This window comes from Homo sapiens, chromosome 14, assembly GCF_000001405.40.
Source record: "Homo sapiens chromosome 14, GRCh38.p14 Primary Assembly".
In the NCBI taxonomy this organism is placed as follows: Eukaryota; Metazoa; Chordata; class Mammalia; order Primates; family Hominidae; genus Homo; species Homo sapiens.
The window spans coordinates 77,987,099-78,002,070 of NC_000014.9; the positions used below are offsets into that span (position 1 = coordinate 77,987,099).

At 42.8% G+C, this 14,972-nt stretch overlaps 1 annotated feature.

Annotated features, from left to right (window-relative positions):
* Positions 6,516 to 7,135: an enhancer, noted in NCBI's record as "H3K27ac hESC enhancer chr14:78459957-78460576 (GRCh37/hg19 assembly coordinates)". NCBI's record gives its function as "activates a minimal SCP1, AML or CMV promoter by ChIP-STARR-seq in naive H9 embryonic stem cells {active_cell/tissue: H9 hESC(naive)}" and the evidence as "EXISTENCE:reporter gene assay evidence [ECO:0000049][PMID:30033119]".

Consider the following 14,972-nt stretch of genomic DNA (forward strand, 5'->3'; position numbering starts at 1 on the left):
ATCATATAAACTGCAAAGCCTAAAATATTTACTATCTGCCCTGGCTTAAACCATAAAATTCAGCACTTAAATTTGTTTTATGCTTCATTGAATTCTTTCAAAAAGCCTTCTCAGATTCTTCTTCTTCTTCTTTTTTTTTTTTTTTAAATTGGGACAGGGTCCCACTCTGTTGCCCAGGCTGGTCTCAAACTCTTGGGATCAAGGGACTCTCCTGCCTTGGCCTCCCAAAATGTTGGGATTACAGGTGTGAGCCACCATGCCTGGCCTTTCAGATTCTTCTTTATTCCTCCTCCTCTCACTAGCCACTCTTTACCTTTTCCATCTTTTCCTGCTCTGAATTTCTGTCACAATTTATCTGTATTTTTTTTGTGCTTTTCTCCTTCTAAAATTGTAAATAGTCATTTATTTATGTATCTGTTTTGCATAATGCTCTAGCCTATAAATGCTTTGAGGGCAGAATGTCTTTAGGATTATCTCTGTACCCTGTCAGCAATTAGTGCCCGAATTCAGTAAACCAGGATAGAACCTTGTTGGTTGTAGAGTCTAACATGGCTCCTGATTGGTCCCCCTGAAATTGCCACAAAGGGTATCACCAACTTCTGGAAGTTCTATGCAGGGGTATGGCATCATGAAGAGCTGTGTTTCTTCTGGACTAAAGCTATCTAATCCTGCCTTTGAACTGATAGCCAAATCCTGCTTCCTTAGTAGTAAGATCACCATCTTATGGAGGGAGAGAAACCTTGCAACTTTGTGGATGAATTATGGGGTCTTATTGACCCTGGTTCATTTCCATCCCTCCTGTCTTTTCCAACATGAGCCCATTTTATAGAATTCCAGGTGTAGGCCCATCAATTCCATGGAGATGTCCAAGAAAGGAACAGCTTTCCTTTCTCTCAATTCTTGTTATACAAAGATTCAATAATATTGTGGTCGTCAGGATAATGGACCCCCCAAAAAATATCCATGTCCTAATCCCTGGAACCTGTGAATATGTTACTTTACATAGAAAATTAGATTTTGCAGATGTGATTAAGGTTAAGGACTTTGAGATGGTGAGATTATCTGGGATTATCCAATTGGGTCCAATTTAATCACCTAAGTCCTTAAAAGTGGAACAGCCGAGGCAGAACAATAGGTCAGATAGATGTGATGTGAGAAGAACTTGATCCACTGTTGCAGGCTTTGGCAATGAAGGAAACAGGTCATGAGCCAAGGAAGAAGGGCAGCCTCTGGAAGCTGGAAAGACAGGGAAACAGATTTTCCCCTGGAGCCTCCAGAAAGGAATGCAGCCCTGGTGACACCTGGATTTCAGCCCAATGAGACCCAGGTTAGACTTCTGATCCGTAGAACACTTAGATAATAAATTCGTGTTGTTTAAGCCACCAAGTTTGTGGTAGTTTGTTATGACAGTGACAGAAAACTAAGACAGATACACTTATGTTTTTGGCTTGAAATGGCTGGCCCCTGCCACTTAATCCAAACGGTTCAGTGACTCAGAGGCAGAGTGGGGAGGTGGAGGCCAGATGGACATTTGCCCATCCATTACAGAAAAAAAAAAAAAAAAAAGGTGGTGTTGTCCAGAGTCCTGGAACTAAAGCTGGCTGGTTGTCTTGGAAATCATGACCTTTATCCCTAAGAAGAAATTAAACTGAGCGAATGTGAATGACGACAGCAGCCTTTTTGCTGGCAGTCTATTTGGGGAAGGGACGGACTGGTCTTGTGGGTTGCTTTTCTCACATGTGTATACAAGCTTCAGGCTTTTAGTGCCAGCTGGTAGAATTTTGGTCCTCAAAGAATCAGAAACCCTAAAGTCCAGGGGAATGGCTCTGGTTACGAAAACAATCTGATGAACTCTGTATTAGTTATCTATTGCCACAAGAACGCTCAATAGAAAACTATCCCCCAAACCTCACTGACTTAAAACAATAATTATTTATCATGGCTCACAGGTTTATGGACTGGCTAGCCCTTTCTGCAGATCTGGGCTGGGCTCAGCTGGTCTCAGCTGGGCTTGCTCATGCATCTGTGGTCAGTTGGCAGGTTGGCCAGAGGCTGATTGGTCTAGGATGACCTCAGCTGGGGTGATTCAGATCTTTTCCACATGCTAGCTCATACTCCAGAAGTCTAGTTGCTTTTGTTCTTATGATGGAGGCAAGGGGAGCTAGTGAGCGAGTGTGTGTATGAGAGAGAGAGAGAGGTGGGCAAAGGTCTCAAGGCCTTGGCTTGGAACTGACATGCTGTCACTTCTGCTGCATTCTATTGGTCAAAGTAAATGACAAGGCAGCCTAGATTCAAAGAACAGGGTAATAGGCTGAACCCCTTGATGAGAGGAACTATCAAGTCACATTGCAAATGCTGTGGGAGGGATGAAAGATTAGGGCCATTTTTGTAGTCAATCTGCCACAAACTCTCTGGGAAAGGAGAAGCCCTTAGCCCCAAATAGCTCCTGAAGGCTGAAGTGAACGAGGCCACTGCCCACATCTGGCTCCTCTCTGCAGGCTGTGAAAACATCCCACGGCAGTCCTAAGGGAGCCATCCGAGCCTCCAAATCCTGTCCCCTCTTCACTGCCTGCCCCCACTGCCAAAGAAAGCTACAGTGTTCTCTGTGAATTGCCAGCCGCAGTCCCCTCCCTTCTCTGCCTCTCTGTTCCAAGCCCGAGGGAGGTCGTGGGTGACCAGCTGGCTTGATGAATGCGGCTTCTGTAAACCTTCCCCGGCCTCTGTCGCTGCATCAGCGTGAAATGAACTTGCTAATACTCTAAGAGCCACAAACCTTTTCCTCCACCCCAGCACGACACATCGAATCGATCTGGCTGGGTGAGCCGCGACAAACCCCACAGAAAAAAGCATCAGCAAATTTAAAGCCTCATTCGAGGTCTTGATTCACCATAAACTAAGTTGCTGGCAGCAGGCATTGACACTTCCACTGTGGTTGATACTGCGATTTATTTGACTTGCCGTTAAGATGTTGATATTGACCAAGACTGAGTTCTAAATGAAAAGGCCCATGGCAATATATCTTTATTGCTCAAGTAATCCGAGGACTTGCTAATCCTTTCCTGTCCGCCAAGATGGTCTCACTCAATAATGTTGCAGAAATTCTCTAGGAACACAGAAACCATCACTTAGATACAACAAGATGTTCTTTCCCCACAAGGCCTCCTGAAAGAGGAATGGTGGTACAAGCAGTGTGTTTAGTAACAGGACCAAAGTGTTGGAAATCTGTTCTTGCCCCCACAGCCCAAACCATTATATTTTTTTTAACTTTTCAGAGACCTAACACCTTCCTTTTCAGAAACCCAGAAACAAATCACAAAGGACTTTGTATGGGACTTGCTCATGAAGAGTATCCGCTTCCCTTTCTTCACCTGGCCCATGTTAGGGCTTCAGCCTTGCCTACCTCTAACCCAGGCAAATGAATCCTGGTCCCAAGGGGCACTATGATGTCACCCTTAGTGCTGGCCCCAACAGTGAAATTAATGTGACAGTTGGTTCTTGCTAATTTCAAGGCCCAGTAGGAACACAGAGAAAGAATGGAAAATTTATTACCTGCTAATTTATTTTCTCATTGAAATGTCATCTGCCGCCTTCACTTTAGGGGAAAATATGTTAGCAGTAGAGTCATATAGGGCGCCTTTTGTATTATTTTGGGTGTCAGGGTCCCTGCAGAAATCAGCAGGGAGAAGAACCCACACAACAGGGTCAAGGAAGCAGCCCAGGGTGGCTGGGTTAGGGAGCGAGCCAGAGGGGCAGAATTTTCCAGCCCAGCTTCTTTACCCAGCTCTGCAGTGGGAAGAGGCCCAGACAGGTGGAACCACAGGAAGACAGAGCTTTCACAGATGTACTATCTGTGTCAGGAGAAGCAGGTGCAGGCCACCCCAGACACTGATCCACAGTGTGGCTGTTGTTCTTGTCTCTCTAGAACAACTGATGACAGTCTCCGCTAGCCCTCCTGGCTTGCTGTTCTGGGGATGAAGGGATTGATCACAGCCTCAACCTCATCCCAAAGAAGCACTGTCACATAGAGATTCAGAGTGCAGGCATGGCAGTCACACAGTTTTGGGTTTGAATCCTGGCTTCAGTGCTTACCAGCTGGGTGACCTTGTCACTTGTCCTTTCTAAGCCACAGTTTTCCCATCTGTCAAAAGGAGGAAATAATAACGACACCATGGCAGACACTGTTTATTGGCTCCTGTGTTCCTTGGCAACAGATGATCAGTTTTGCTCAGATATCACTTCCCACAGTTTCTGGGGGACGTGGGCTCCATTCCTGGTCCAGGAGTGATCCTGTGATAATTTCTGGCCAATGAGATGAAAAAGGAAATTTTCCGAGGTGGTTCTGGGAAAGATTCCCCTCCTGGTAAGAGAAGAAGGACAAGGAGTATCTTTTTGCTTTGTCTGACCCCAGTCTCCTTCTTGATGTGAAGTCAGAGGGTGAGAAGAGTCTCTCTGCTTAGGTTGCCCCCTGCTGCCTACCGGGAAACTTTGCTGAGTTTATCACCAAGAGACCAAGAGAATGTTGGGACACCTGTCCATACTCCTGCCTTTGTAGGGCAGCTGAAACAAAGCCATTGACTGCCTATGTTTTATGTGAGAAGAATGGACCTCTGTTTAATTAATTAATCTTTTGAGACTGGGTCTCATTCTGTTGCCCAGGCTGGAATGCAATGGCACGATCTTGGCTCACTGCAACCTCCACCTCCTGGACTCAAACCCACATCAGCCTCCCAAGTAGCTGGGACTACAGGCATGTGCCACCACCTTTGGTTAATTTTTTTGTATTTTTGGTAGATATGGGGTTTTGCCAAGTTGCCCAGGCTAGTCTTGAACTCCTGAGCTCAAGCGATTTGCCTGCCTCGGCCTCCCGAAGAGCTGGGATTACAGGTGTGAGCCACCATGCCAGCCACACCTATTTATTAAAGCCAGTGTGAACTGGTAAGTTTGTTCCTCATAGCCCAAATTATTCCTAAATGATACAGGTACCTATGTTGTGGCTGTGATTAGAGCATTAAATGAGATTGTCAGAGGCCCTTCTGGACAAAGACCTGAAAGTTTCTCTAGTTTCTCTCTGCAAAGACTTTTTTTTTTTTTTTAATTTCTTTATTTTTTTTGAGACAGAGTCTCACTCTGTCGTCCAGGCTGGAGTGCAATGGTGTGATCTCAGTTCACTGCAACCTCCACCTCCTGGGTTCAAGTGATTCTCCTGCCTCAGCTTCCCGAGTAGCTGGGACTACAGGCATGTCCCACCACGCCTGGCTCATTTTTGTGTTTTTATTAGAGGTGGGGTTTCACTGTGTTGGCTAGGCTAGTCTCGAACTCCTGACCTCAAGTGATCCACCCACCTCGGCCTCCCAAAGTGTGGGGATTACAGGCGTGAGCCACCATGTCTGGCCTCTCTGCAGTCTTGACATAGATTTGTGAGATCTGCTCCCTGGGAATAATGATGAAAGAGAGAGACTGGGGAAAAGGAACCGAGGAGCTGGGTCACTCCACTTTTCTCTTTCTGTTTTGGGGAGAAGGCAATTCAGGCCTTAGCTGGATGATTTTCCATCTACCACACATGTGCTTTCCGCTGGGTCAAGTATCTATTGAATACATCCTGTAGATAATAACTGGATTTTAAAATCTGTAGACCTGAAATTTTGATAAATTTTATTTTGTTTTCTTATTGCTTTATCTTCTAATTTTAGAACTGTGGATGGCATCATTTTAGCTTGAGTTCATTAAGCAGAAGCTCCCATTGTTTTAGTTTTTGATTTCTTTTTTTTCAATTTACATTATAAAATATTTTATTTTTAAGCAATATATTATCATGGTTTATTATTCATAAGGCACAAAAGAATATACAGCAAAAAGTCTTCCTGCCGCCATAACTTTCCAGCCATTGAGTTCTTGGAGGCAACCAGTTTCTACCAATTCTTTTTTTTTTTTTTTTTTTTTTTTTATTGATAATTCTTGGGTGTTTCTCGCAGAGGGGGGGATTTGGCAGGGTCATAGGACAATAGCGTGGGAAGGTCAGCAGATAAACAAGTGAACAAAGGTCTCTGGTTTTCCTAGGCAGAGGACCCTGCGGCCTTCCGCAGTGTTTGTGTCCCTGGGTACTTGAGATTAGGGAGTGGTGATGACTCTTAACCAGCATGCTGCCTTCAAGCATCTGTTTAACAAAGCACATCTTGCACCGCCCTTAATCCATTTAACCCTGAGTGGACACAGCACAGGTTTCAGAGAGCACAGGGTTGGGGGTAAGGTCACAGATCAACAGGATCCCAAGGCAAAAGAATTTTTCTTAGTACAGAACAAAATGAAAAGTCTCCCATGTCTACTTCTTTCTACACAGACAGGGCAACCATCCGATTTCTCAATCTTTTCCCCACCTTTCCCACCTTTCTATTCCACAAAACCGCCATTGTCATCATGGCCCGTTCTCAATGAGCTGTTGGGTACACCTCCCAGACGGGGTGGTGGCCGGGCAGAGGGGCTCCTCACTTCCCAGTAGGGGCGGCAGGGCAGAGGCGCCCCTCACCTCCCGGACGGGGCGGCTGGCTGGGTGGGGGGCTGACCCCCCCCACCTCCCTCCCGGACGGGGCGGCTGGCCTGGTGGGGGCTGACCCCCACCTCCCTCCCGGACGGGGTGGCTGCCGGGTGGAGACGCTCCTCACTTCTCAGACGGGGCGGCTGCCGGGCGGAGGGGCTCCTCACTTCTCAGACGGGGTGGTTGCCAGGCAGAGGGTCTCCTCACTTCTCAGACGGGGCGGCTGGGCAGAGACGCTCCTCACCTCCCAGACGGGGTCGCGGCCGGGCAGAGGCGCTCCCCACATCCCAGATGATGGGCAGCCGGGCAGAGACGCTCCTCACTTCCTAGATGGGATGGCGGCCGGGAAGAGGTGCTCCTCACTTCCTAGATGGGATGGCGAGCGGGCAGAGACGCTCCTCACTTTCCAGACTGGGCAGCCACGCAGAGGGGCTCCACACATCCCAGACGATGGGCGGCCAGGCAGAGACGCTCCTCACTTCCCAGACGGGGTGGCGGCCGGGCAGAGGCTGCAATCTCAGCACTTTGGGAGGCCAAGGCAGGCGGCTGGGAGGTGGAGGTTGTAGCGAGCCGAGATCACGCCACTGCACTCCAGCCTGGGCACCATTGAGCACTGAGTGAACGAGACTCTGTCTGCAATCCCAGCACCTCGGGAGGCCGAGGCTGGCGGATCACTCGCGGTTAGGAGCTGGAGACCAGCCCGGCCAACACAGCGAAACCCCGTCTCCACCAAAAAAAATACGAAAACCAGTCAGGCGTGGCGGCGCGCGCCTGCAATCGCAGGCACTCAGCAGGCTGAGGCAGGAGAATCAGGCAGGGAGGTTGCAGTGAGCTGAGATGGCAGCAGTACGGTCCAGCTTCGGCTCGGCATCAGAGGGAGACTGTGGGGAGAGGGAGAGGGACAGGGACAGGGACAGGGACAGGGACAGTTTTTGATTTCTTTACCATTAAGTCTGCCATTATGCTCTCAGGGGGACTAGCTAGTTCTCTATGCAAAGGGAACCTTTGGCTAAGTGACAAATCATTTTTTTTTAATGCCAAGAATCACCTTCCAATTAATTTATTTTCTAAAATTATTCCAATCATTGTCTGAACCCTGGAGCTTGCTGTGTGGTAACAGCCCATAACCTGATGGACCTTGCAGGCCTTTTGCAAGGATAATAAAGACAGGGGCTATGGCTGGGCATGGTGGCTCATGCCTGTACTCCCAGCACTTTGGAAGGCCGAGCTGGGCAGATCACCTGAGGTTAGGAGTTCAATACTAGCCTGGCTAACATGGCGAAAGCCCAGCTCTACTAAATATACAAAACTTAGCCAGGCATGGTGGTGTGCACCTGTAATCCCAGCTACTCAGGAGGCTGAGGCAGGAGAATCACTTGAGCCCAGGAGACAGGTTGCAGTGAGCCGAGAGTGTGCCACTGCACTCCAGGCTGGGAAACAGAGTGAGACTCCATTTCAAAAAAAAAAAAAAAAAAAAAAAAAAAAAAGACAGGGGCTACAAGGCCATGCATTCTTAGCTTTGAGTTGATAAAACTTGTTTGTCTCATAGGTTAAATTAATACATGGTAAAGTTGATCTTTTGTGTGTGCACCGTTCTATTTTTAACACATAAATGGGTTCGTGCAACGATCATCACAAAAAGAAGTGTGGTGAAGGCTGGGTGTGGTGGCTCAGGGCTGTAATCTTAGCACTTTGGGAGGCTGAGGTGGGTGGATCACTTGAGATCAGGAGTTCGAGACCAGCCTGGCCAACATGTTGAAACTCTGTCTCTACCAAAAGTATAAAAATTAACCAGGTGTGGTGGCACATGCCTGTAGTCCCAGCTATTTGGGAGGCTGAGTCAGGAGAACCGCTTGAACCCAGGAGGTGGAGGTTGCAGTGAGCCAAGATCACGCCACTGCACTCCAACCTGGGTGACAGAGTGAGACTCCGTCTCCAAAAAAAAGGACTTTGCAGAGAAACTAGAAAAACTTTCGAGCCTTTGTCCAGAAGGCCCTCTGACTATCTCATTTAATGCTCTAATCACAGCTACAACATAGGTACCTATTTCACTTACGAATAATTAGGGCAAGGAGGAACAAACTTACCAGTTCACGGTGGCTTTAATAAACAGGGGTGGCTGGGCATGGTGGCTCACACCTGTAATCCCAGCTCTTTGAGAGGCAGAGGCAGGTGGATCACTTGAGCTCAGGAGTTCGAGACCAGCCTGGGCAACATGGTGAAATTCTGTCTGTACCAAAAATATAAAAAGTAGCCGGGTATGGTGGCGCATGTCTGTGGTCCCAGCTACTCGGGAGGCTGAGGTGGGAGGATTGCTTGAGCCTGGGAGGCGGAGGTTGCAGTGAGCCGAGATTGTGCCACTGCACTCCAGCCTGGGTGACAAAGTGAAACCCCCATCTCAAAAGAAAAAAAAAAAGTGAGATGATGAATATGTTAATCACCTTGATTCAATCATGCCACAATGTATAAATATATCAAAATAGCACATTGTATCTCATAAATGTACACAACTATGATTTGTACATTAAAAATAATAATTCAAAATATAAAGACTAGTGCTCCTCATGCTAGTGCTTCCTTGTCGCATTCTTCCCTCACCTCTGCTCCCGGCACTCAGTGTCTGTTCTCCATCACAATAGTTTTGTGTTTTCAAGAATGTCATATAAATGGAATCATATTATATGTAACCTTTTGAGACTCTCTTCTTTCACTCAGCATAATGCCTTTAAGAGTCATTCAAATTGTGTGTATGAATAATTTGTTCATTTTTATTGCTGAGTGGTATTCCATTGCACGGCTGTACCACAGCTTGTTTATCCATTCAAGGACAGTTAAATGTTTTCCAGTTTTGGGCAATTATGAATAAAGCTTCTATACACATTTGTATTCAGGTTTTTATGTGAACATAAGTTTTCATTTCTCTGAGGCAAATAAATGGGATTTGCAAGATCATATGGTAAGTGTCGATTTAAATTTATAAGAAACTGCCAAACTGTTTTCCAGAGTGGCCACACCATTTTGCATTTCCAATTGCAAGGTGTGAAAGTTCCGGTTACTCCAAATTTCCATCAGCCCTTGGGATTTTTGATACACACACTACTTGCTGAAAAGACTGTCCTTTCTCCATTGCATAGCTTTTGCACTTTTGTTAAAAATCAGTACTTTTAGATTTTATCTTAGTCATTCTAATAGGTATGTAGTGGTATATTACCAAGACTTTAATTCGTATTTCCCTAAGGGTGAATGATGCTGAACATGTTTTGTGTGTGCGCTTATTCACATTCATATATCCTCTTTGGTGAAATGTTTGTCCTAGTCTTTTTTCCATTTAAAAATTGTGTTGTTTTCTTATTGTTGAGTTTGATAATTCTTTATATATTCTGGATATAAGTCATTTGTTAAATATGTAATTCCAAAATATTTTCTCCCAGTCTATAGCTTGTCTTTTCATTCTCCTAACAGTGTCTTTTGCAGACCAAAAGTTTTTAATTTTGAAGTCTAATTTTCAGTTTTTAAAATATAGATTATGCTTTTGGTGTCATATCTAAGAATGTTTTGCTTAACTCCAGATCTAAAAGATTTTGCCTATGTCTTCTACAAATTTTGTAGTTTTACATTTTATATCTGTGACCAAGTTTTTATATATAATATACAATATTTGCTAGTTTTTATGTAATATGAAGTTTAATTTGAAGTTCATTTTTTTTTAACATATAGATGTCCAGTTGCTCCCATGCAAGTTGCTAAAAAGAGTGTCATTTTCTCTATTGGATAGCTTTTGCACCTTTGTTAAAAATCAGTTGGCCATATTTGTGTGGATCTTTTTCTGGACTGTATTCTTTTTCATTGATATGTATGTGTGTATTTCTTTGTAACAGCATGTCTTGACTACTGTAGCTTTATTGCAAGTGTTAAAATTGGGTAGTATGATTTCTACAATCTTATTCTTCATTTTCAAAATTGTTTGGGCTATTCTAGTTCCTTTCCATACAAATTTTAGAATTATCTTGCCTAAATCTATAAAAAAACAATTCTAATAGAAATTTGGTTGAGATTGTATTAAAGATCAATTTGGGAAAAATGGACATCTTTATGTATTGAGTCTTCCAACCTGTGTACATGGTATGTCTGTCTCTCCATTTACTTAGGCAAAATTTGAATTGTTTCATCAGCATTTTGTAGTTTTCATCATGTGGATCCTATGCATATTTTGTCAAATTTATGCTTAGATATTTCATTTTGGGGTTTCAATAGTATATGGTATATATTTTTTAAATGTTGAATTCCAATTTTATATTGCCAGTATCTCAAAATATGATTGGTGATTGATTTTTGTGTGTTGACCTGCTGGCCTATGACCTTACTAAGCTCACTTATTGTTTCTAGAATTTTCTTTGTTTGCTTGTTTTTTGTTGATTCCTTAGGGTTTTCTACCTAGGAAATTATGTTGTTTGTGAATGAATAAAGACAGTTGTGTTTCTTTTAAATCTGCATGTCTTTTATTTCTTTTCCTTGCTTTGTTATGTTAACTAGGATTTCTAGTATGATGTTGAATCAGACTGGTGAGAGTGTCTTCTTCCCAATCTTAGGCAAAAATAATTCAGTCTCTAACCATTGATTATGCTATCAGCTGTATGTTTTTTGTAGATGCTCTTTAGTAGACTTAAGAATTTCCCTATACCTAGATTGCCGGGGTTTTAAAAAAAGACGTGATCATTTGTTGAGTTTCATCAAAGGCTTTTCTATATCAACTGATGCCAATGTGTGGTTTTTCTTTCTTAGACTGCTGATGTGATGGATCGCATCCATTGATTTTTAAATATCAAACCATCCTTGCATTTCCAGAATATGCTTCCCTTGTTTATGGTGTATTATTCTTTCTACATTTGCCTGGATTTAATTTGCAATATTCTTTGAATATTTTGCATCTATGCTCATGAGGGCTATTGGTCTTTAGCTTTCTTTTGTCTTTCTTCCTTCTTTTCTTTTCCTGCTCCTTCTTTTTTGGTATTGTCTTTGGTTTTTTGGTATCAGGGTAATATGAGCTCCAAAAACTGAGACAAAATGCACCCCCTTCTATTGTCTGGAAGAGATCCTCTAGAGTTAGTGTTATTTCTTTTTTAAATGTTTGGTGGAATTTGCCAATGAAAACATCGAGCTTTGTGGATTATATTTTTGGGTAGATTTTAGCTAGAAATTCAATTTCTTTAATAGTTACAAGACTATTTGGGTTATCTATTTTATGTAAGATGAGTTAGGGTAGTTGGTGGTTTTTGAAGCATTGTGGTCCATTTCATCTAAGTTGTCAAATTTATGCATGTAGAATTGTTTGTATTATTCCCTTCCTATCCTTTTAGTGTCTGTAGGGTCTATAATGATAGCACTTTCTTCAGTGCTGTTATTGATAATTTGTATCTCTTCTCTCTCTTTTTTCCTTTGTCAGGTTTTCTAGAGGCTTTTCAATTTGATCAATCTTTTCATATAATCAGATTTTGGTTTTATTAATTTCCTTTATCTTTCTGTTTTCAATTTCCTTGATAATATGTTTTCTTTATTATTCCCTTTTGTTTGCTTGCTTTCAATTTATTCTTTTCTTCTTTTTCTGGTTTCTTACTGTGGAGACAGATTATTGACTTGGAGCCTTGGTTATTTTCTAATATAATCACTGGATACTATAAATTTCTGTTGATGTACTGCTTTAATAAATCTCAAAAATTTTGATATATTGTATTTTCATTTTTGTTTACTCTCAAATAATTCCTAATTTTTCATGGGATTTCATCTTTGACTTATAGATTATTTGAAGTGTATTTTAAAATTTCCAACAGGAGATTTTCCTGTTATCTCTTACTGATCTTGTTTCATTCTATTGTGGTCAGAGAACATCCTTTGTATGATTTCAGTTATTTTTAACTTGCTAAGGTCTATTCTATGACTTGCAGTGTCATCTGTCTTTGTTAATGTTCCAAGAATCTGTATTTTGCTATTCTTCTGGGAGAGTATTCTATTGAGAAGAGTGTATATTCTTCTATTGTTGAATGGAGTGTTCTATAAATGTCAGATCCAGTCGTTGATGGTAATATTCTTTTCTTCTATATTTTTGCTGAATTTCTATCTACAAGTTCTATTTATCATTAAGAGAAGAATATTCAAGTCTCCAATTATAATTATAGAATTTCCTACCTCTCCTTTCAGTTATTATTTGTTTTTGCTTCAAGTATTTTGAAGCTCTCTTGTTAGAAACACTTCTAGAATTGTCATTTCTTTTCTTTTTTTTTTTTTTTTTGAGATGGAATCTCACTCTGTCACCCAGGCTGGAGTGCAGTGGCGCGATCTCGGCTCACTGCAACCTCTGCCTCTGGGGTTCAAGCAATTCTTATGCCTCAGCCTCCTAGGTAGCTGGGACTACAGGCACGCACCACCATGCCCAGCTAATTTTTGTATTTTTAGTAGAGACAGGGTTTCACTATATTGGCCAGGCTGGTCTCAAACTCCTGACCTTGTGATCCACCTGCCTCAGCCTCCCAAAGTGCTGGTACTACAGGCATGAGCCACCATGCCCAGCCTGTCATTTCTTTTTGATAAACTGAGTCTTTAATTTTTTCATTTCTGCAATTTTTTTGTCTCATTTTAATATGGCTGCCACTGTTTCTTTTTTTTGTTTGTTTAATGTTTGCATCATATATCTTCCCCCCACCTTAATTTTTACCTACCTATATCATTATATTTGAAGTAGATTTCTCTACACAGCATACAGTTGGCTCACGGGTTTCAAAAAATCCATTCTAGGCTGTGGGTGATAGCTCATGCCTGTAATCCCAGCACTTTGAGAGGCTAAGGTGGGCAGACTGCTTGAGCTCAGAAGTTCTAGACCAGCTTGGGCAACACGGTGAAACCTCATCTCTACAAAAAATACGAAAATTAGCTGGGCACGGTGGTGTGCACCTGTAGTCTCAGCTACTTGGGAGGCTGAGGTGGGAAGATGGCTTGAGCCCAGGAGATGGAGATTTCAGTGAGCTGAGATGGTGCTACTGCACTCCAGCCTGGGCAACAGAGCCAGATGCTGTCTCAAAAAAAAAAAAAGTTCTGAAAATTTAACTGGTATGTTTAGACCATTTTTATTTAATGTAATTAATGATAAATTACAATTTAGGTCTGCCATTTTATTACTCATTTTCTTTTTGTTTCCTCTGGTTTTTGTTCCTTTGTGATATGGTTTGGCTGTGTCCCCACTCAAATCTCATCTTGAATTCCCATGTGTTGTGGGAGGGACTGTTGCAGGAAGTCAGGGACCCCAAACAGAGGGACCAGTTGGAGCCGCGGCAGAGGAACATAAATTGTGATTTCATTTTAATATGGACATTTATCAGTTCCCAAATTAATACTTTTATACTTTCTTATGCCTGTCTTACTTGAATCTCTTAATCCTGTTATCTCTGTAAGCTGAGGATGTACATCACCTCAGGACCACTGTGATAATTGTATTAACTGTACAAATTGATTGTAAAACATATGTGTTTGAACAATATGAAATCAGTTCACCTTGAAAAAGAACAGAATAACAGCAATTTTTAGGGAACAAGGGAAGACAACCATAAGGTCTGACTGCCTAGGGGGTCAGGCAAAAAGAGCCATATTTTTCTTCTTGCAGAGAGCCTGTGAATGGATGTGCAAGTAGGGAAGATATCGCTAAATTCTTTTCCTAGCAAGGAATATTGATATTAATACTCTGGGAAAGGAATTCATTCCTGGGGGGAGGTCTACAAACAGCCGCTCTGGTAGTGTCTGTCTTATGTAGTTGAGATAAGGACTGAAATAAGCCCTGGTCTCCTGCAGTACCCTCAGGCTTACTAGGATTCAGAAAACTCCATCCTGGTAAATTTTTGGTCAGACCGGTTCTCTCTTCTTGAACCCTGTTTTCTGTTAAGATGTTTATCAAGACAATATGTGCACCCCTGAACATACACCCTTATCAAGAGTCCTGATTTTGCCCTTGTCCTGTTTCCTCAGAAGCATGTGATCTTTGTTCTACTTTTTGCCCTTTGAAGCATGTGATCTTTGTACCTACTCCCTGTTTGTACACCCCCTCCCCTTTTAGAATTCTTAATAAAAACTTGCTGGTTTTGAGGCTCGGGCAGTCATCACAGTCCTACTGATATGTGATGTCACCCCCGGCGGCCCAGTTGTAAAATTCCTCTCTTTGTATTCTTTCTCTTTATTTCTCAGCCAGCCAACACTTATGGAAAATAGAAAGAACCTATGTTGAAATACTGGGGGCAGGTTCCCCTGATAAGGGACCTGGTGGGAGGTAATTGAATCATGGGGGCAAGTCTTCCTTGTGCTGTTGTCGTAATAGTGAATAAGTCTCGTGAGATCTGAGGGTTTTGAAAGGAGGAATTCCCAGCCGGCCGCAGTGGCTCATGCCTATAATCCCAACACT